Raw genomic sequence first — 20,929 nt, forward strand, 5'->3', positions numbered from 1 at the left:
AAAAAAAAAGAGAGAGAGATAGTGCTATAGGGAAAAAAAAAGGGCAGTGCAAAAAGGATGGGGAGTGGGTGGGAGACTGTGGACATGGCATCTGTGATGCAAGTTTCCAATTCAAACAAAGTGGTCTGAACAGGCCTTGATGATAAAGTCACATTTGCAGAAAGAAGGGAAGACTTGTAAGAGGTCTTTATGCTATGCTATGCCATGCCACGTTCGGGCTGCCTCCTTAAAATGATTGGATGGATGAGTGAGTGAATAAAACTACTATTGATTAAGCACCTACTATGTCTCAGGGGCTGTGCTAAGCACTTTATCCATAATTTCTAATTGAACCCTATAAGAATAAAGTAATCTTCATTTTTCAGATAAGGAAATTGAGACTCAGCAAGAATAAAAAAGATTGTCCAAGTTGGGCACAGTGGCTCATGCCTGTAATCCAGGCACTTTGGGAGGCTAAGGCAGGGGTATAATTTGAAGCCAGGAGTTTGAGACCAGCCTGGGTAACATAGCAAGACCCCATCTCTACAAAAAATTAAAATATTGGCCAAACATGCTGGCACGCACCTATAGTCCCAGCTATCCTGGAGGCCAAGGCAGGGCAATTGCTTGAGCCTAGCAGTTTGAGGTTGTGGTGAGCTATGACTGTGCCACTGCACCCAAGACTGGGTGACAGAGGGAGACTGTGTGTCTATAAAAATAATTTTTTAAAAAACTGAGATTGTTCAATATCAGTTAGTAAGTGATGGGACCAGGATTTAAACTCCATTCCTCCAGCTCCTTAGCCCCTGCCCTTTTGATGACCACAAAGCTTCCATTCTTTCTTGGACTGACAAAGAGTATGGGGAGGCTGAGGGCTGCTGAGTGGAGATGCACAGCCCCCAAGCCAACCCCAAAGGTATAGATTATGTTCCTTTCACCCTTGCACAAAGCCAGCCAGCCCTGACTTGAAGAAGTCACCCTGCATCACTCCCTGAGACAAGGATGCTGAGTCTCGGTGCTCACACCTGTAGGCGGCCTGGTTGACCTGCTCAGTTTTCCCTGTGATGCATTCTGTCTTACACATCCTAAATTTTCTTTTACATGGCTTTGACATTTCTTTCTTTAGTGGTGATAGCAGACAGATGTGAAGATGCAGTTCCTAAGAGCTATACCATTCCAAATGTCAGAAAAATGCAAGGTTTCTGGAAGTTCATTGCCCTCAGCTCCCTAAGAGCGTTGCTCTTTCACCAAGGAATGGTGGAACCCCAGGTGCTAGAGGCTAAGCATCTTTCTAGCACACTTTTGAAGGAACTGTTCATAAACTTGTTGGAGTCTCATTCTTGACTTGGCAAATGTGGCTCTCATCAGTGTTCTTCCCCAAGTCTGACCTCCTTTCCTCATTCTGCAATTCCTCCTTCTTGTGGACATTAGGAGCTCATCATCTAAGGGGACTTGCTGAATGCAGTTCTACTCAGCCTACACTTGTGTTATGTCTCCCTCCAGCTTCATGAGTGGTAAACTCATGAAAATATAATACAATATAAATATTGTAAGTAAATGACATCCACTTAGAAGTCTACAAGGAAAAGAGGTGGGTTGCTTGAGTGAATTTGGTCATTCAATAAAAATCATACCAAGACATTTAGGCATGAATGTGAAATGACATGAGTACTTTGAAAGTTAGGAGCACCACAGAAATATACTTTGGAAATAATGAAGCCGCAGCAGCTGGGAAGAAGGATGGTAGAATCCTCTCTGGGCAGCCCAGAGTTTCACAGTCTCGGTCCACCCTATGACCCCAAGCCAAGCCCAAATGCATAGATTCTGTTCCTTGCACCCACTGTACATACATATATTAAATACTTATATAGCATGAGGACAGCTTGTATTTGTTAAAACATTTTCATGTTTTGAAAGCACTGTTCACGGCCATTAATTTATTTAATCTCATTCAAGCATCAAAACAACCTAGTTAATGGGATGTGGTGATTTAAACCTCTATTTTGCAAATGAGGAGACAGAGACCACAGAAGCTCAGTAACTTGTCCAAGGTCAAAGCCAGAGAAGGATGAGAGCATGATTCATGTCCAAGTGTCCAGAGTCAAACTCCCATGTTTTTTCCCTGACAAGGAAAGGATGCTTGATACCAGATTCATTTATAGGTATAGGATGATCACACCCTACCCTACCTCTGTCTCTCTCCTGTTCCTATGTCTCTATTGTTCTCTTTCCTCTCTCTCAACTTCTTTTTTCTCTGTCTCACCTTGGATTTAAGTTTACTCCAAGGTGAATGTGCAGAAAAGCCTTATTATGTGATTATTTTACCTACAATGTGATCCTGTGACAGGGACCCCAAGAGTGACCTTGTAATGAGACCTTAATAAATTGCTCTGGAGTCCAGAGTTGGCTGCATGCTCCAGTGCCCTACAGCAGATAAAATCCTCACTAGGGGCAGCATGTATGATAGCATCCATGACGGTGTAGACTCACACACCGGGAGAGATGATCCAGGTTGCTTAGAGTCAAGGCCAAACCCCCAGACCTTTGGGGCCCTTCCTGGTCCCTCCTTTACATTCATCACACTTTGATGTATTTGCTTGTCCAGTGTCTGTCTCTCCATTAGATGGAGCAATATAGGGAAAGAACTATGTGTGCCCTGTTAACTGCTGGTCCCCTTGGTCTATAGCATTGTGTCAGTCATTGCCTAAGCCCTCACAAAGAGAGGGGGAATAACTGCATGAATGAATACATGAAGTATTGATGGAATAACAATAATTTCTCATGTCTCTCTTCTCAGAAACACTCACATTGTCCAATATTCTCATTGAAGATGCATCTTAACCTCTTTAGGATTTTCACAGGGAAGGAGTTCCACATGAACAGCCTGTTCTGGAATGAGTGGTGATGAGATGGGATGAGAGCATTTTCTCAGTGTTTCTCAAATGGTACCGTGCAGACCCTTGGGTATCAACTCAGCCCCATCACCAAAACCAATAGTGGTTGGAAACTCAAGGAACAGGAACTTTGGGGAAGCTGAGAAGAAGGGCAGCTGGGGCCTGACTTCATTCTCTCAGGATTCCCTTCCTGTGAGCCTCTGGTTATTCTATCCTGAATGCAAGGCAGATATGGAGAGGTTCTGAGTCAGGGCCCAGAATGTGAGGTTCTTATGAGACAATAAAAATTGGAATCAACTTCTGGCCTTGCTGGGTCTGTTATTGGAATTAAGCCCATCTTTTCTCATTTTATTTAAACTGAAGACACTTTCTGGCAAGGTGTTAGATTGCCATCAAAAATGTCAGCCAAGGGCTTATGAAGTCAAGGCCTGAGAAACTTGTATCAATTTATGCTCTGGGTAAAAATTCATATGAGATTTAGCAGCCTAGCAGGTTCATTTATTATATACTCATTTGCATGTCCTAAACTAAAAACCTGCAAGGAGCTGTGTATAAGATTAACAAGAAAGGCCAAAGTGGCCTCTTCTATCCCAAGTAAGGATAAACTGATAGATGAACTGTGGAGGGCACACTAGAGTGATCTTCTTCCCTAGTATAAGAGCAGAAAAGAACTGAACATTTTCTGAGTTCCAATTCAAACCTTGATCAAAGATCCAATCAAAATGAACCTTACCAATAACAACGTGTATTGAATATTGAATATATACCAGGCTTTGTGCTAAGCACCTTTCGTTTATATTGACCAATTAGTCTTCTCAATGATTTCATCAAGTGGGTTTTATTATTTGCTCTATTTGATAGAAAATGAAAGAGAGAAACAGAAGTTCCCAAACTTCATTCAATATGCCCAAGCTTGCAAACCAGCAAAGACCGGGATTAAAGGCTGGGCAGTTAGCCTCTGGAACATCTGCCCTTAATGTTGGTTAGGTAATGAATCCAACATTCAGGAATATAATCAAAATGCTCATTGCAGGTTTTGTTGCAGTTTGAGACTCCTTATGGTGGCAGATAGTTAAACCTCATAGTACAACATTTTTTCTTCTTCTAGTTCCTGGTACAAAGAGAAAGCACTAGAATAATTAACTGGAAAATTCATTCTCCAAATGTTTTGCTTTGTACCAATAAATTGGATAGGTCAAGATGCCCTCCTGTCTGTCCCCTGGGATTTTGAAGAAATGTTTAAATCACTTTTGTATACTCATACCATTTGGGTGGAGAAAAATCTAGGGATTATCTAAGATTCTTAACAGCCGTGACAATCAGGATAAAGAACATGGCCATAAAGAGATACCCTGATGGGGGAATGGCAGGCTTTACTTACTCCTATGCATTTGATCTTTGCAGCAAGCTTAAGTCAAACTTACACTTCATTCACTAATATACAAAAAGATGCCCAACATCAGTAGTATGGAAGGGAATTAAAATTAAATGATGTTTTTTACATATCATTTCGGCAAAAACTTCTGAGTTTTGATAATATCGATCATAGTGAAGGTGAGGAGAAACAGGTACTTCCATAGATTGCCAATGAAAGGATGAATTGGAATGCCTATTCTGGAAGGTGATTTGAAAGAATTAAAAATGTATACCACCTGTGAGCCAGCAATTCTAGTTCTTGCTGTCTACCACCAGGAAACACTTATATTCACAAGAGTGTTCACTGCAGCATAATTTATGGTGCCCAAAATTGGAAATCGCAGAAATGTAATATGTCCATACCATGGAATATTACACAGCTCACGAAAAGGTAAATTTCTATGACTGACAACAAATAAAATGCATAAGACATACTGTTAATTTAGAAAACCCATACAGCATGGCATCATCCAATTACACACACACACACACACACACACACACACGATTGTATAGAAAAAACAGTGTGGAGGTACACAAAAGACTCAAAGATGAGACTACTTCTGGGGAAGTTCTAGGGATGGGGAGCAATAGCCAAGAGAACCACCCATCATTCAAAAAATATTATTTAGCACCTTCTCTGTCAGGCACTGATGCTACCCCTGTGATGAACAGACCAAAATCCTTGGGATCATGACGCCAATATTATAGTGTTAGTATTATTGTTAAGCATGTGTATGGAACAAGAATGAATTTATATATTAGTTGTAATTAAAAATAAATAAAAATAAAAGCTAATAATGAAATCACTCACAATTTGAGATAAACAAAATGTCAACTGATTATTTTGGATTTTAAGAGTACTTGCAAATATTCCCAACCACAAATGTTATATTGGTGGCTGTCATGAGGCTACTGTAATTCCTCAAATGGTCCCCTTTGGATGGTTGGCACAGACAGAAATGCATGCAGGAACAGTCTCATACACCTCAAACACCTGCACACAATTTTGACAGTTGCTTCTATTAACATTTTTGGGGAGCATCATTAGACACAAAGTAGGAGTAAAACCCAATCCAATTATACATATTTTCACAACAGATATGTACAGGAATAATCTTAGTGGCGCCATTAAGTGGCCTAAACTGAAAACTACCTAAATGTCCATCAGTGGTTGAAAAGATGAATAGTCTGCTATATTCACACAAAAGAATGACATACAGCAATGAAAAGCAATGCATTAAAATGAAATGTAATAATGGATGAATCTCATTGACAGTGGTGAATGAAGGAAGCCTGACTCAAGAGTAACACACTCTAATTCCATTTATTGAAAGTTCATTAAAAGGCAAAAATAACACATGATACTAGAAGGTGGAATAGTTGTTACCCTTAGGAGGAAGCAGTAGCTTAGGTGCATTATAAAGGCTTTGTCAGGCTCAGGATTGTTCTGCTTCTTGATCTGGATGCTGGTTGCCTGGATGTGTTTATGAATTGTGTTGAGTTTTACAGTTGCTACATGTAACTTTTTTGTAGGTATATCCTACTTGCATCACAAGCTTAGGAAAATAAAAATAAAAACATAAAGCCCTGAAATCCAATTTGTATTTTGGAAACTCATCTTTGTCAAGTCACATGCCTTCTCTGGGCTTCAGTTTTACCATCCAAAAAATGGGAGAGAAATTTGTTAGCTGATCAGAAAGGGCTCTTCCAAATTTATGCCTCTGTGTCTCACCTCTTCCATTCTAATAATTCATTCCTGAAGGAATTAAAAAACCTAGAGAATGAGGCTTGTAGAAGGCTTATAACATCACATGTGTCCCATTTTCAAGGCATTTGTTATAAATTAAAGACACAATCAATGAGCAACGGAAATTATGTCTTTCCAGGAAAATACACATAGTTAATTCTTTCCCAAAGTGCTTGTAGGATAAGTAGGAATATGCCAAACGCTGCCTCTATCACACGTCCTACAGTCATGCCAATCCAAACAGCCTGTGAGGGGAGAGTCAGCAATTTAGGAGGCAGGGCTGTTCCTGGGAGGAAGGAGGCAGCCACTATGCTCATGACTGACGACCTGTTTGCAAAGGCACTTCCTCTCTGAGGGGAGCTGGTTCATAATTTTCCTCTTACTGCTACTGGAAGTCCTTGAATGGCAATATCACAACTTGTACCCATTCACAACAGGAAAAGTTGACATTGGCAGATAATCTTGGCACATGAGGAGGAAAAGTCCAGTACTGACTGTCAGCTTCTGTATAAGAACCAGGAAGATAATTTCTATAGTGTATACTATGATGTAATCATTACACTCGAGGTTGGCCTTCAGCCAGGGACTCTTTTCCTTGTTGTATCCAAGCCCCACTGATATTTGCAAGGCAGGGACCCCAAGGAAATCAACTCAAGGCCCTGAACAGACCCATTGTGTTAACTCTATTTAAGCCCACAGACATGGACTCTTGGGAGAGTGAAGCAGCCTCTGATGAGCAGGGGTGTTATCCTGACTGTTCAGAAAGCTGGGCCTCACGTGAAGGGCTGGTTCTCAGAGGAAAGCTCAAATTAGCAGCTGAAAATAACCAGACACAAAATCTGATAGGGGTTCTCAGGTCATCTAGATCAGTTCTTTTCAAATGATCAGAGGCGAAGGACCAGTTTTGTTTCATTTTATTTGGTTATTTATTTGTAACGATTCACAGGCCAATACATTTTTTTAAATTCAAGAAAATTGAATGATTACAAATGGAATAAAGAGACAAAATATAAGCCCCATTTTTTATTAGTTTCAACAGACATTATTCTGTCCAGCGGCTATAAAAATTCAGAAATTGTCCTTGATCTAGGTGCTGGTTAAATAGATTTGTTTAACTTGTGAAAATCTGTGGAGCAGTAAGCAATGTCTGCAGGTACCCACTGTGAAACAGTGGTAGTCTGTGGATTTCAGGAGTGGTACTCATTGGAGATCTTCACACTCTGTCATGAGTACACTTTTTTGGGAATAACATAATGTTCAAAGTAGGGGAAAGGGTCAGTGGACAGATATTGTAATGAGGATGGGACCCAAGATAAGACAATGGAAAAACAGGTAGAAAAGTATTAAAAGTAATGGCAAAAACCACGATTACTTTTGCACCAACCTAATAAGAATCTCAGAAATCAAGACTTTAGTGAGGAAGCAATTTTTGATGATAATGAAGGAACCTGCTGTTTTCAGAGGAGGGAGGTCGAGGGACATCAGTAAATAACCAGATTAATTACCTAGAATGAAGCACAGAGATCTCTGCTCACTGGGTTCAGCAAATCCATAGGCTAAACAACCAATAGGCAGTACATGAGATATTGAAGTTCTGGTTTAGGTCAGCCTGAGAACACCAGGCAGGTAACGCATTACTTCTTTCCACCCATTTCCTGCTCACAAATTGCAGATGGAAAACAGATTTTTACAAAATCAATTTTCTTGTTTTATCAAATACCAAATATAAAAGCTCATGTCCATATAATCACAGTTAATGATTCTCGAAAGCAAATTTAGAATTAGGGGCAATTACAACAAAACCTTAGCAGAGTAAGTTATAAAACAACTTATTTTCAGTTATAGGAATAATTTCCCACTGAAGGCAACTATTCTTTTTTTTTATTTTTTTAGTGTTTTTGGAAAAGGGACAAATTTAAGTAGGTAAGACAAAAAACTGAAATTCTACAAGCATTTTAGTTTCCAGTCCAAGACAGCTGTTGGGTGATATCACCCATTGTGAAAACAGCCATGCGTGGAGGGAATTGGCAGAAGAAAAGCAAGAACACTCGATATGGGGTGTGTAAACGTGCTTTCTCTGTCTCCTTTGATTTTCCTTATAGCTAGACCCACCTAAAAGTGAAGTTACATATGTGGATGTTTATATGAAGAATAAAGGACACAAGAAAGGATTCAAGAAATGAAAAACGGTGGAGGAAGATAAACATTTCAAGATTCAGATCACGTTGCTGCCCGAATTCAGAGTGTCTCTAAGGAAATAGCTAGAAGGGGTTTTCAACTCTCAGCTTCCTTCCAAGGAATAAAGAATTTGCTGTGAGCAAAAAAACTTGCCAAGAAAATGCCAATTTGTGTCACACTAACATCTTTCTTAAGGCTGAACGTGGACTTCGGAAATGTGAACCTTTGGCTCTGGTGAACACAGTCAGCCTTGAGGGTTTGAAATTAGGTTCTTCAGAAGGACGGAAGGAAATCTGAGAGATCAACTTAGACACCCACTAATTAGAAAATGCACCGACACCAGAGACTTGTTTGCAATGAGTGGTGGGGTCAACCTTTCCATGGCACCTGACGTGAACTTAGAAAAATGGAATCCCTGAAAACGTTTGGAAATGATTTTATCGGAGACAGAGAGAGACAGCAACTGCTGGAGGGAGAAAGAGAGGACAAAAGGCAAACCAAAGTGAGATGCTGTAATCGAGAAGACTTGGCGAGAACAAATGGAAGAACGTTTGAACTTGCTTGTTGCAGACAAAACAACCTTCAAAGGCTACCTTTTTCCTATTTGATGGGGTAAAATTGCTTCCACCAATGCATTATACATATTTAAAACTCTCTTTCTGCATTTATAATCTTCATAGATGCAGCTTCCTCCAAACTTAGGTAATGAATGTAAGATGATGCTCCCTTGGGGGTTGTAAAGACAATCTAAGAACAAGTCATTTCGGAGTAACAAACTTCACAGCTGGGGATACTTTCCATTGCATAAGGCACCTACCCCTAAAGCTTTCATTGTTTCACTCTTAGGCAGTTATGTCATTATTTCACTTACCTCATTGGGGAAATCATTGTTTAACAACCAAATATAAATGGGGAAATAGTCTTCTACTTTATCTTCTCTAGGATAACAGCTTCCCTCCCCCACTTCCCTCCACAGAAGGATTAGTCCCAAATGGGTGATGAATTGCTCTAAACAGTCCAACAATCCCAGAGAGAGAAATGAGAAGAAAAATAACTAGCTGATTACCAATAGGGAACAAATTGGCCACTTGAGAATTCAGTGGCTAGAATGACAAATGAGAAAATGAAAATCCTCATCAAGGGACTAGACTTGCTGATTAGTCCAAGTGCAGATGACCACTTCCCATGCCTCTCCTGCCCTGCTGTGCGATGATTTACATCTGATTGAACATTATTTTTTATTTGGGACCGGATTTCTAAAAGGGTGTTTGGAAAACTTTGAAGTACTTAATTATAACCAGGAGGCATTTGGGGGCTGAGCACTGAAATGGAAGATGCTCTGTGTTGGGCTTATGGAATGTTCATTTAGGGAAGAACCCATGTCTGCCTGGTTTGGTCTGGTTTTTCATTCCATCACCCCTTAAGGCAGCTTTCCAAGGTTTTCTGGACTCTGGAAGAAAATAAAAATGAGAAGCGTATTCTTGGCCGAGGGATCCACATTGAAGGCAGACTCCAGGATTTCAACATGTGGATAGACTGGGCTTTCTGTTAATCATCAATTACTAAAAATAGAAATAATCTGGGACTCCTTTGAAGGGAGACCATTTTTTATGAGACTTCATTTGAACCAATCTGTCAAGGGAAGTTGGGTATATAATGAACAATAGACATTCTTAGTGGTGCTAAGTCATATATGCATGAAGAAATAAAACAGGACTGTCAACCATTATCCTCCAAGTGGACATAGTCACATGAGCTACAGGAATTATGAGGAAAAGGGGAGGTGGAGATTTTGAGTCAGGTGATCAGGATAGGATTCAGAGAGAAAGGGTAATAGGACTCAGGCCTTGAAGGAGGGATAGAGCTATAGTGATTTCTGGGTGGGAATCACTTGAATGAAGAATAGTACTGATTTTTTTTTAAATGATTTGGTACAGAGTAGAATGTGTGTCTTAAGCAAAGCGTTTTTCAGTACAGGAATCTGGAAAGATGAGACAGAACATAAAATTTTACATGTATGAATGGGTCTTTAACACCAGGCAGAGAATTGGGTTTGATTCTAAAAGGACCAGAGGTACATTAAGGATTCTAAGGCAAGTTAGACTTGTTTTAGAGGTCTATTTTCCTCATCTGACAAAAAGAATCAGCAAAACAGCATTCTCTGTAACTTTTCCAACAAGTAAAATCAACATGTAAGACTGCCATTTTGATTCTTCTTTGGTTTGTGGGACCAGTGCTGTGGAAGATAAGAATGAATTAGCACAGTGCCTGGCTCTAGGACTCAACACATATTGTTAAATGCATGAATGAAGCTGAACTATATAGAACCAGAGTACTGTTTCCTAGAACAGATAAAGAAGACCTTATTACCTCAGACCTCTCAAGAGGTATCAATAGAGAATTTGATGGGGGCCCTGGTTGGAAGTTATGTGAACCTGGGCATGTAACTTCACCTTTTTGAGTCTGTATTTCATCATCTGAAAAAGCAAAGGTGAGTTTCATGAATGAGCTTTAATTACAGGAAGATTTTATGTGTATTTTTGGGGAAAGAGATGCCATACATGGCTTGTGTTGGATTCACAGGAGTCCATGATCCAAGATATGGTTAAGAACCACTGGATATTTCTTTTAAACTATAAGAGTCTGTGACTCTGAGACTCCAGGGATGATTTTCCTCCCTGGAAGGACAATTGGAATATCAGACCTCACAGCCCTGCCAATTTTGTTACCTTGTAGGAGGCCTGTGGCTGATTGATTTGACTGAAATGAGGAGGAGAGGATGTTCTTAACTGTCAACCCAGCCTCAGATTCCTCAGCAATTTAAGAACTATTATTGATCTGATCAGCCATTCTGGAACATAATTGACCATTGAAAGAGGCAAATCATTGAAAGGCAGCTGTTCCCAACAGAACATGACACTGGCAACATGGTAGCCTCTGACACAGCCCTTTCTGTAGAATGTTTCCTCTCTCTTCTTCCTTTTTTCAAGTGGGCATGTTCATAGTGGACTCTGTCATAAGGTTATCAGAAAGAATAACTAGTTAAAGATGGGGAAAGCATTTGGTAAGATGAGATACACTTCTGCTCTTAAGGCTATTCTTCAAAACAATATGCAATGATATTTTTGTTGAATGGATACACTCAGCAGTCACTCTGATTTGGAGACTTGTCAATGATGTAATGCTTGCCAGTTAACATGAGCAGTTATAATGAAAATGTTATAGCCCTAGAAGCTATTGTCAGTATAAAACTCTAGCACAGAAAGCTAGTCCCAGTAATTTATAGTGAGGCAGCACTCTTAATGATTTTTGGCTTCATGCATTAATGAACAGAGATGTAAAGGATAAAGGACTTATAATGTAATAAGGAAAACTCAAGAAAAGATTCAGCTCTAATCAAAATAAATTGTGTTTTTAGATTGATTTTCATAAATTCAACCATTACCCTTTATTTATACCAAAAAGAAATGCATCATGCTAAGCTGATTCCTATCATTCAGAAAAAAAAGGACATTATATTTTTAATATATTTTAATATAATATCCATAAATTGCAAATGTCAACTTACAAGAAAGAAAAACCCATATACAGGCAAGAATAGAGCATCTATTCTTGCTAGGAAGAGAAAAAAGAATTCCTATAAATGTCAGTAAATTCCTTTTCCCTTTTTAAATAGTACTCGTTGTTTAATTGAAGCGTTGATTAGCACCATTAAAAATCCCGCCTAAAGGCCAGGCGTGGTGGCTCATGCTTGTAATCCCAGCACTTTGGAAGGCCAAGGCTGGTGGATCACGAGGTCAGGAGTTCAAGACCAGCCTGGCCAAGATGGTGAAACCCCGTCTCTACTAAAAATACAAAAATTAGTCGGGCATGGTGGCAGGTGCCTGTGATCCCAGCTACGTGGGAGGCTGAGGCAAAGAATTGCTGGAACCCGGGAGGCAGAGGTTGCAGTGAGCCGAGATTGCATGACTACACTCCAGCCTGGGCGAGAGTGAGACTCTGCCTCAAAAAAGGAAAAACAAAAAACAAAAAACAAAACACCCTAAAATAGCAATTTTATGAATAATAGCAATGAAATGTATTATGATTACCTTTGCTTTCTTTCTCCCCCCTCCCAGTTTCTTCTAAATAAATGATGCTTCTTACTCCCCATCAGCCATCTAAAACCAAGAGGACACAATTTCTTCCAAGAAAGTGCATTAAGAGCTCCAATTTACTTCACTTATAAAGTCCTATAGACAGCACTGTCAAATAATGAGTCAAGATCACTATTTAGCACCTAACTATTCTAGTCTTGTTCATATCTTAATGTTCTGTTTTTTCAGCATGAAAGCAGAAACTTCTACTCTATCTGCAATTTTCTTCCTTCCACTGGCAGTGATAATATTTAAAAAGTACTTGGCATCACCCAAATCTGTCTTCCAGTGAAAATCAGAATCCTTCTGATTGTGATTGCTCCCAATTTCCTAGAATTGGAACAGACTAAAATATATGGGTTAACTCTGGAGCCCAGGCTAATGGCACAACATATGGTAGGTTGCAAGTAACACAATGTTTAGCTCAGTCTTCCATGGTATCTGGCAATAGGATGTTACCAATAAAAATTCCTTAAGCTGAAAATTGGCCCAAGTTGCAGTTATTCTGCATGTGCAAGTTGCATCAGACTCTATGGTATAGTCTATGGGGGGGTCCTGTGATTTCCCAAACTGTCTAATCTCTTCCCATATCATTGCTCATGTTCTCAGGAGAGCTGGCTTAATTTGTGTTTAAGATGATATTGATTTGTTATTCTAAAAGCAATTATTGTTTTGGTTTTTGTTGTTGTTAAGAAACCAATCTGATTCTGCTGCAGTAGAATCTGCAATTGCACTGGGGTAGAATTCTTATCACAGTGAGACACCCTGACTGTATAGATGGTAGACCCAAACAAAAACACACAAGGGCATTTACCCGATGTCTTTAGCCATTTAGGTTATAACACACTTACGTGCCAAAAATCACTTTAATTTTCTGGCATTTTCATGGCAAGATTTGTTGTGCATTCATTCTACAGTAGATATTAGTAAATCCTGCATTATGGTTAGCTGTCAGAAAGAGTGGGAATTTTGTGGCGGCTCTTCTTTGGCATCTGACACACAGCACAGTATTTTCACTGGAATCTTCCAAATTATTTTTCTATTTATTGAAATAAGTTCTCACTGCCGAGGCATTACCTCTTGAAAGTTTCATGCTACCCTTAAACGGCTGGACAGAGTGACTGGTTTTCAAATCTTTTTGGCTCCTGGAATGTAGGCTGAACTCTAAGGGATCCTGTGCTCTTCATTCATTCTTCATAATCATACCTCCCTCACCGTGTGGGTCTTTTCCATGTCACAGATAAGGAAACTAAGATTCAGGAAAGTTAACCAGTTATCCACAATGACATACCTAATGTGTGGTCAACCCAAGCTAATTCAATTGATTTGAACCTTTCTATCAGAGTCCCAGGCAGGCTGCACCTCTACATGTCTGACCTTTGGGGGGCTCCCAAAACAGTGATGCAGATTTGCTGAGCTAATATGAGAGAAGAAGGAAACGTTAAACAGTACATCTGTATCATTGCCATGTATGAGCGTGTGTGATGTAGGAGAAGAGATCGTAGTTTCTAGTTCCAGCTGTTACTATATTTCTCTGCTTTTGGGAAGTCACTGTTCATGTCTTTCATTGACTCTTTAGGCAAGAGTGGGTAGGCAATGTATGGTGGCTCACGCCTGTAATCCCAGCACTTTGGGAGGCTAAGGCGGTTGGATCAGGAGGTCAGGAGATTGAGACCATCCTAGCTAACAAGGTGAAACCCTGTCTTTACTAAAAATACAAAAAATTAGCCAGGCGTGGTGGTGGGGGCCTGTAGTCCCAGCTACTCAGGGAGGCTGAGTCAGGAGAATGGCGTGAACCTGGGAGGTGGAGCTTGCAGTGAGCCAAGATCATGCCACTGCACTTGAGCCTGGCGACAGAGCAAGACTCCATCTCCAAAAAAAAAAAAACAAATGGGTAAATGTGTGAGCAGAGTGGTTCAACTGCTATGTTCTTAGGGCTGACACTGAAGGATCCTAACTTGTGTGCTTACATCATAGCCTGGGAAAATGTAGTTTGGGGGTCTCCTTTTCAAGATCCTACTTCTCCATCCTACCTTTAAATTTGAGAATCCAGAGTTTCACCCCAAACCTGCTCTTCTCTAGCACTACCTTCTCTGTGGGTGATCTCACCCTTTCTTTGTTCTTGTTTTAACATCTCTTGTATGATATTAATATAGCCACTCCATCTTGCTTATGGTTGCTGTTTGCATGATATCTTTTTCCATCCTTTTGCTTGCATCCTATTTGTATCTTTGAATCTCAAGTGTGTTTTCTGTAGACAGCATATAGTTGGACCTTGTTATGGTTTTTAATTCAATCCAATTATCTCTAACTTTCAAATGGATTTTGTAATTATTTATGTTTCATGGCGTTATTGATAAGGCTAGATTTACCTCTGCCACTTTGCTTTTGGCTTTCTATGCCTCAATTCTTTTTTGTTTCTCTGTTCCTCCTTTAATGTTTTCCTTTATGATTAATCGATATTTTCTAGTATAACATTTTAATTATTTAATATTTTTTCATAAGGAATTATTTTCTTAGTGTTTCCTCTTGGGCCTATAATATACATCTTAACTTATCAAAATCTACTTCATATTTATACTAACTTAATTCCAGTGAAACATAGAGACTTTACTGCTATTATACAACTCTATTTTCTCCCCAGTTTATAATATTATTGTTCAATATATTCAATTTATATGCTATAAACCCAATGGTGCATTAAAATAATTATTGCTTTATATAATCTTATGTATTTTACAGAACCTGGAAGAAGGAGGAGATCAAGTACATATTTATAGTTTATTATGTAGATCTTAACTATTTGTAATTCACTTCATTTCTTCCTATGGACTTGAGACATCATCTGGTATCATTTCCCAAAGCTGCTTTGCTCACACCCATCTCCTTTGTGGTGTTGTTTTCAGATGTACTACATTTCCATACACTATAAGTCCAACAATACAGTTATATGCACATTCTTTTTTTTTTTTTTTTTTTTGACAGGGTCTCTGTCACCCAGGCTGGAGTGCAGTGGCATGATCTCAGCTCACTGCAACCTCCACCTCCCGGGTTCAAGTGATTCTCCTTCCTCAGCCTCCCGAGTAGCTGGGATTACAGTCGTCAGTCACCATACCCGGCTAATTTTTTTGTACTTTTAGTAGAGATGGGGTTTCACCGTGTTGGCCGGGCTGCTCTTCAACTCCTGACCTCAAGTGATCTGCCTGCCTAGGTCTCCCAAAGCGCTAGGACTACATGTGCGAGACACCATGCCCAGCCTATGTTGACTTTTTAATCTTTTTTTTTTTTTTTTTTTTAGTGAGGTGAAGTTCATATAACATAAAATTAAACATATCGAAGTACAGAATTCTATATCATTTAGTGCATTCACATAATATTGCATCCGCCATCTTCTTTAGTTTGAAAACTTTTTCGGGTCAACATGTGGAAACCCGGTGTCTACAAAAATCACAAAATAGAAATATTAGCCGGACATGGTGGTGAGCGTCTGTAATCCCAGCTACTCAGGAGGCTGAGGCAGGAAAATCTCTTGAACCCGGGAGATGGAGGTTGCAGTGAGCCGAGATAGTGCCACTGCACTCCAGCCTGGGCGACAAAGCGAGACTGTGTCTCAAAAACAAACCAACCAACAAAAACAACAAAACTATTTTGGCGGGTGCAGTGGCATACCCCTGTAATTCTAGCACTTTGGGTAGCCGAGGTGGGAGGATTGCCTGAGCTCAGTAGTTTGAGAGTAGCCTGAGAAACAGTGAGACCCCATCCGTGCAAATAAATTATAATACATTTAAAAATTTTTTTTCATCATCATGGTTTGTACTCAATCACTTCCCATACTCATCTTCTCCCATCCCCTAGTGATCACTAATCTGCTGTCTCTATAGGTTTATCTATTCTGGATATTTCATGTCAAAGGAATATACAATATGCGACCCTTGTCTGGTTTATTTCATTAGCATAATGTTGGCATGGTTCATTTGTGTTTTAGCACCTGTCAGTACTTCTTTCCTGTTTATGGTTTAATGTATACTCATTGTATGTATATACCATAATTTGTTTATCCATTTACCTATAGGAGATTTGCATTGTTTACATTTCTATAATACCTTTTGGGCATAATGAATACTGCTGTTTTAAACGTTTGCGTACAAGTTTCTGTGCAGATCAATATTTTCACTTTTCTTGGATGTATACCTAGCAATGGATTTGTGGGTCATATGGTAGTTCTATGTTTGGCTTTTTAAGAAACCACCAAACTCTTTTCCCTAGCATCTGGACCATTTTACATTTTGACCAGCAATATACGAGGGTTCCTATTTCTCCATATCCTGCCAACATTATTATTATTTTTTTTTTCCATAGCCAACCTAGGGGATGTAAAGTGGTATCTCACTGTGGTTTTTATTTACATTTGTTTAATGACCAATGAGGTTTAATATCTTCTTATGTGTGTTTGGTTATTGGTATATCTTCTTTAGATAAATATTTATTCAAGCCTTTGCCCATTATTTTTTCTTTTGACATTGAGTCTCACCCTGTCACCCAGGCTGGAGTTTCTGGCATGACCATGGCTTACAGCAGCCTCAACCTTTTGGGCTTAAGCAAGCCTCCCACCTCAGCCTCTGGAGATGCTGGGACTACAAGCACAAACTACCACCATGCTTGGCTAATTTTTCTATTCTTATTTTGTAGAGATGGGGTCTCATTATGTTGCCCAGACTGGTCTCTAACTCTCAGGCTCAAGTGATTCTCCTGCCTCAGCCTCCCAAATTGCTAAGACTACAGCGTGAGTCACTGCACCCAGCCCTTTGCTCATTTTTGAATTGGATTGTTTGTCTTTTTGAGTTGTAAGAGTTCTTTATGTATTCTAATTACTAAATAGACCCTTATCAGGTGTATGATTTGCAAATATTTTCTTCCACTTCGTAGATTGTCTTTTCACTCTCTTGGTAATGTTCTTTGATGCCCCAAAGTGTCTAATTTTTCTGAAGTCAAATTTTTCTATATTTTCTTTTGTCCCTCATGCTTTTGATGTCAAATCTAAGAATCTCCTGCTGCCAAATGAGTTCATGAAGATGTGTCCCTAAGCTTTACAATTCTAGTAGCTTTATATTCTTAGTTCTTATAGTTAGTTTGTTGACCCATTGTTAGTTTTCATATATAGTGAGATGGGGCCCAATTTCATTCTTTTACATGTACTTATTCAGTTGTCCTAGCACCATCTGTTGAAGAGACTATTCTTACCCCATTGGATGGTCTTGGTAACTTTGTTGAAAATCAATTGACCATAGACGTTTGGGTTTATTTCTGAACACTTATTTTTTTTCCATTGGCCCATATGTCTGTTGTCCTGCTGATACCATAGTGTTTTGATTACTGTTGCTCTGTAGTAAGTTTTGAAATCAGAAAATGTGAGTTCTTCAACTTTTAAAATACTGTTTTGTCTACTTGGGGCTCGTCACGTTTCCATATGAAATTGAGGATTGGCATTTCCATTCCTGCAAGAAGACCATTGGAATTCTGAGAGGGATGCACTGAATCTGTAGGTCACTTTGGAGAATACTGGTATCTTAACAACATTGAATCTTCCAAACTATTAACATGGAACATCTTTCCATTTAATCAGGTCTTCTTTAATTTTTTTTTCAGCAATGTTTTGTAGTTTTATGTATATAAGTCTTTCACCTCCTTGGATAAATGTATTCTTAAGTATTTTATACTTTTGCATACTATCATCAAAAGGATTTTTTTTCCTTTTTAAATTCTTCATTTCCAGCATATAGAAACACAACTGATTGTTCTGTGTTAAGTATGTACCCCACGACTTGTTCAGATTTTGTTCTCCTGATATCTGTTAGTTCTTTATCCCTGGATTCTTTCAGCTCTTTGAAAATATTAATGCAGCTAATTTACAGTCTTTTTCTGGTATGTTCAATGTTTGGGTTTCTTCATGGATGTTTCCTCTCATTTTTTATTCCCTGTGAGCCACACATTTCTGATTCCTTGTATGCTTTGTTCTTTTTGGTTGAAAACTGGACATTTTGAACATTGTAATGGGGTAACTCTTGAAGTCAAATTATCTTCCTTTTCCAGAAATTGCTGATGCTGTTCATTGAGAAGTGCAGTCATCCGTTTGTTTAGTGACTTTCCTAAACTGTGTTGCAAAGACTATATCCCTTGTCAGGTGTGGCACCGATGTCTCTATTCTGTTATCTCAGCAGTCAGCCAATGGCCTGGCAGAGACTCTGTTGGATATTTTAACCCAATAAAGAAAGAGTAAATAAGGTGTTTTGCTCTTTTAAATTCCCCCTGACCGATGCTGCCTGGAAGGCCATTTCAGTCCAAGTGGGTTGAAACAATGGCTAAATCCTGCCCTAGTGCCTCAGTGATCCACGAGGCAAATCAAAACACATGACCCTTAAAAAAAAATGCAACCCTGATCTTTGAAGCACACGGTTCTTATCTCCAACTTGGAAATAGCAAGCCACACCAGGAACATGAACTGTCATCCACACAGATACCAGTTGCCCCAGGGAACAAGAGATGGTAGCTGCTCCATGAAATGCTAAACTTCACCAAAATATATTACTTCAAGCACTCCCCTGCACAGTGCAAGTGTTTGACCAGGCTCTAGATTTTAAAAATAGTTAATTCTGACAATTAACTCTTTCTCAATAGTTTTTTTTTTTTTTTTCCAGCGGAGGGACTGATTTTTGGAGCTTCCTACTTTGTCACCTACACAGTGACATCCCTCTACAATGTCTTTTACACCTTTACTGCTATTCCTTGGTTTTTTGTGTGGATTCAAATTATTGTCCGATGTCACTTGGTTTTCAGACTACAAAAATTCTTGTAGCATTTCTCTTGAGGCAGGTCTTCTAGCAACAAATTCCCTCAGATTTTATTTATCTAGCAAAGTATGTATTTTGCCTTTCATTTTAAAAGATAATTTGGCCAATTCTTGGTAGACAGTTTTTTTCCCTTCAGCATTTTAAACATATCATTTTACTGCCTTCTGGCCTCTATTGTTTGTGATCAAAAGTCAGCCATCTATCCCATTGGAGTTTGTTTGTGATGAGTGATTCACCTTTCACTACTTTCAAGACATTCTCTTTCTCTTTGACTTTCACATATTTTACTATTATGTGTCTGAGTGTGGTCTATTTGTATTTATTCAACTTGGAATTTGTTGAGTTTCTTGGATAAGCAATTTTTTTTCATCAAATGTGGGAAGTTTTCAGTTATTATTTTTTTGAGTTTTTCTACCTTCTCTCTGTGCTTTTCTTCTGGTACTTCTATTACTTGTATGTTGATGTATTTAATTGTGTCCCACATTTCTCTGATGCCATGTTCATTTTCTTTATTATTTTTTTCCGTTTTTTTTTTATGTTGGGTAATCTTTATTATATTCAATTTGCAGATTCTTTCTTCTGCCAGCTAAAATCTACTTCTGAGCCCATCTAGTGTTTTTTAAATTTTGTTATACTTAACTCCAGAATTTTTATTTTGCTCTTTAAAAAATATATATAAGTTCTGTCTCTTTATTGATATTCTTTATTGGGTAAGACATTGTCCTCATTCCTTCCTTTAATCCTTTAAACATGTTCTCCTATAGTTCTTTGAACATATTTATAGTGGCTGCTTTGAAGTTTTAAATATCTAAGTTTATTTAAACAATTACTTTTGACTGCTTTTTTTCTTTTAACATGAGTCACATTTTTCTCCTTCATTAAATGTCTTATACATTTTTTGTTGACAATTGGACATATTAGATAATATATTGTAGCAACTCTGGATATTGATTCTAGTTCCTGTCCATCCCCTACCCCTCTGCACCTAAGGGGTTGATATTGCTGCTGTTTTCCATGTCATTGATTTATTTGTTTAATGATTTAGTTAACTAACCCTATGAAGTATTTTTCCCTCTAGTGTGCAGCCTTTGATGTCCTTCCTCATGTTATTTACTTTTTTTAAAACTTTTTGCTGAGTGATTTAGGATCATTCATGAATTGGCATGTAAGCCACTTATTGATCAAAAGTTACCCCCTTGGCAATTAAATTTTTTCCCTTTACCACTAGACGTATAAGTAACTTGGAGGCTGCTCTGACAGGTGAAGAAGTTTACACTTTTGCTCCCTGTCTACCCAGGAACTAGTCGCTTTTTATCCCCCCCGCCGCCCACCCCCCCAATTCACTCCTAGGATGGTGCAGCTTTGAGCATACACACAATCTTCCAGATTGTTAGGGATACATGTGGTTTTATTTTTAAGCATAGCTCTTAGGAGTTGCTTCAGGTTTAGAGTAGGTTACTGTTCAGCCAGTGTTTAGTTGGAGGTTATCTTTAATCCATAGTGCCAGTGCCAGCTTGCATTTTTTTTGTGATGGATCTGTGTGCAGCATGGGAAAGTTTTCAGATTTGCTTCATTTCCTGTTCTGATGCTCCCAAGTAGGTACAACCAATCACTCATGTACAGCCTTTCCAACCCCCAAGGCTGACTGTGCTCCCAGGAGGACTCTTCTTGGTTGTTTCTTCCCATGATCCAGTCTAGTAAACCTCTAATTGCTCTGTTGTTGTGCTT

General features: G+C 38.9%; 2 long non-coding RNA genes across 6 annotated transcripts in view, besides 1 other annotated feature; one reads left to right on the forward strand and one right to left on the reverse strand.

Moving 5' to 3' along the window:
- Positions 1-20,929, forward strand: part of ADAMTS9-AS2 (ADAMTS9 antisense RNA 2) — a 326,599-nt gene that overhangs the window by 263,885 nt on the left and 41,785 nt on the right. The gene's annotated exons all lie outside the window — the stretch shown is intronic.
- Positions 1-20,929, reverse strand: part of LOC105377124 (uncharacterized) — a 99,923-nt gene that overhangs the window by 72,429 nt on the left and 6,565 nt on the right. The gene's annotated exons all lie outside the window — the stretch shown is intronic.
- Positions 10,427-10,627: a silencer, noted in NCBI's record as "peak4685 fragment used in MPRA reporter construct". NCBI's record gives its function as "represses an SCP1 promoter by STARR-seq MPRAs in K562 erythroleukemia cells {active_cell/tissue: K562}" and the evidence as "EXISTENCE:reporter gene assay evidence [ECO:0000049][PMID:32103011]".

This window comes from Homo sapiens, chromosome 3 (genome assembly GCF_000001405.40).
Source record: "Homo sapiens chromosome 3, GRCh38.p14 Primary Assembly".
Taxonomy (NCBI): Eukaryota; Metazoa; Chordata; class Mammalia; order Primates; family Hominidae; genus Homo; species Homo sapiens.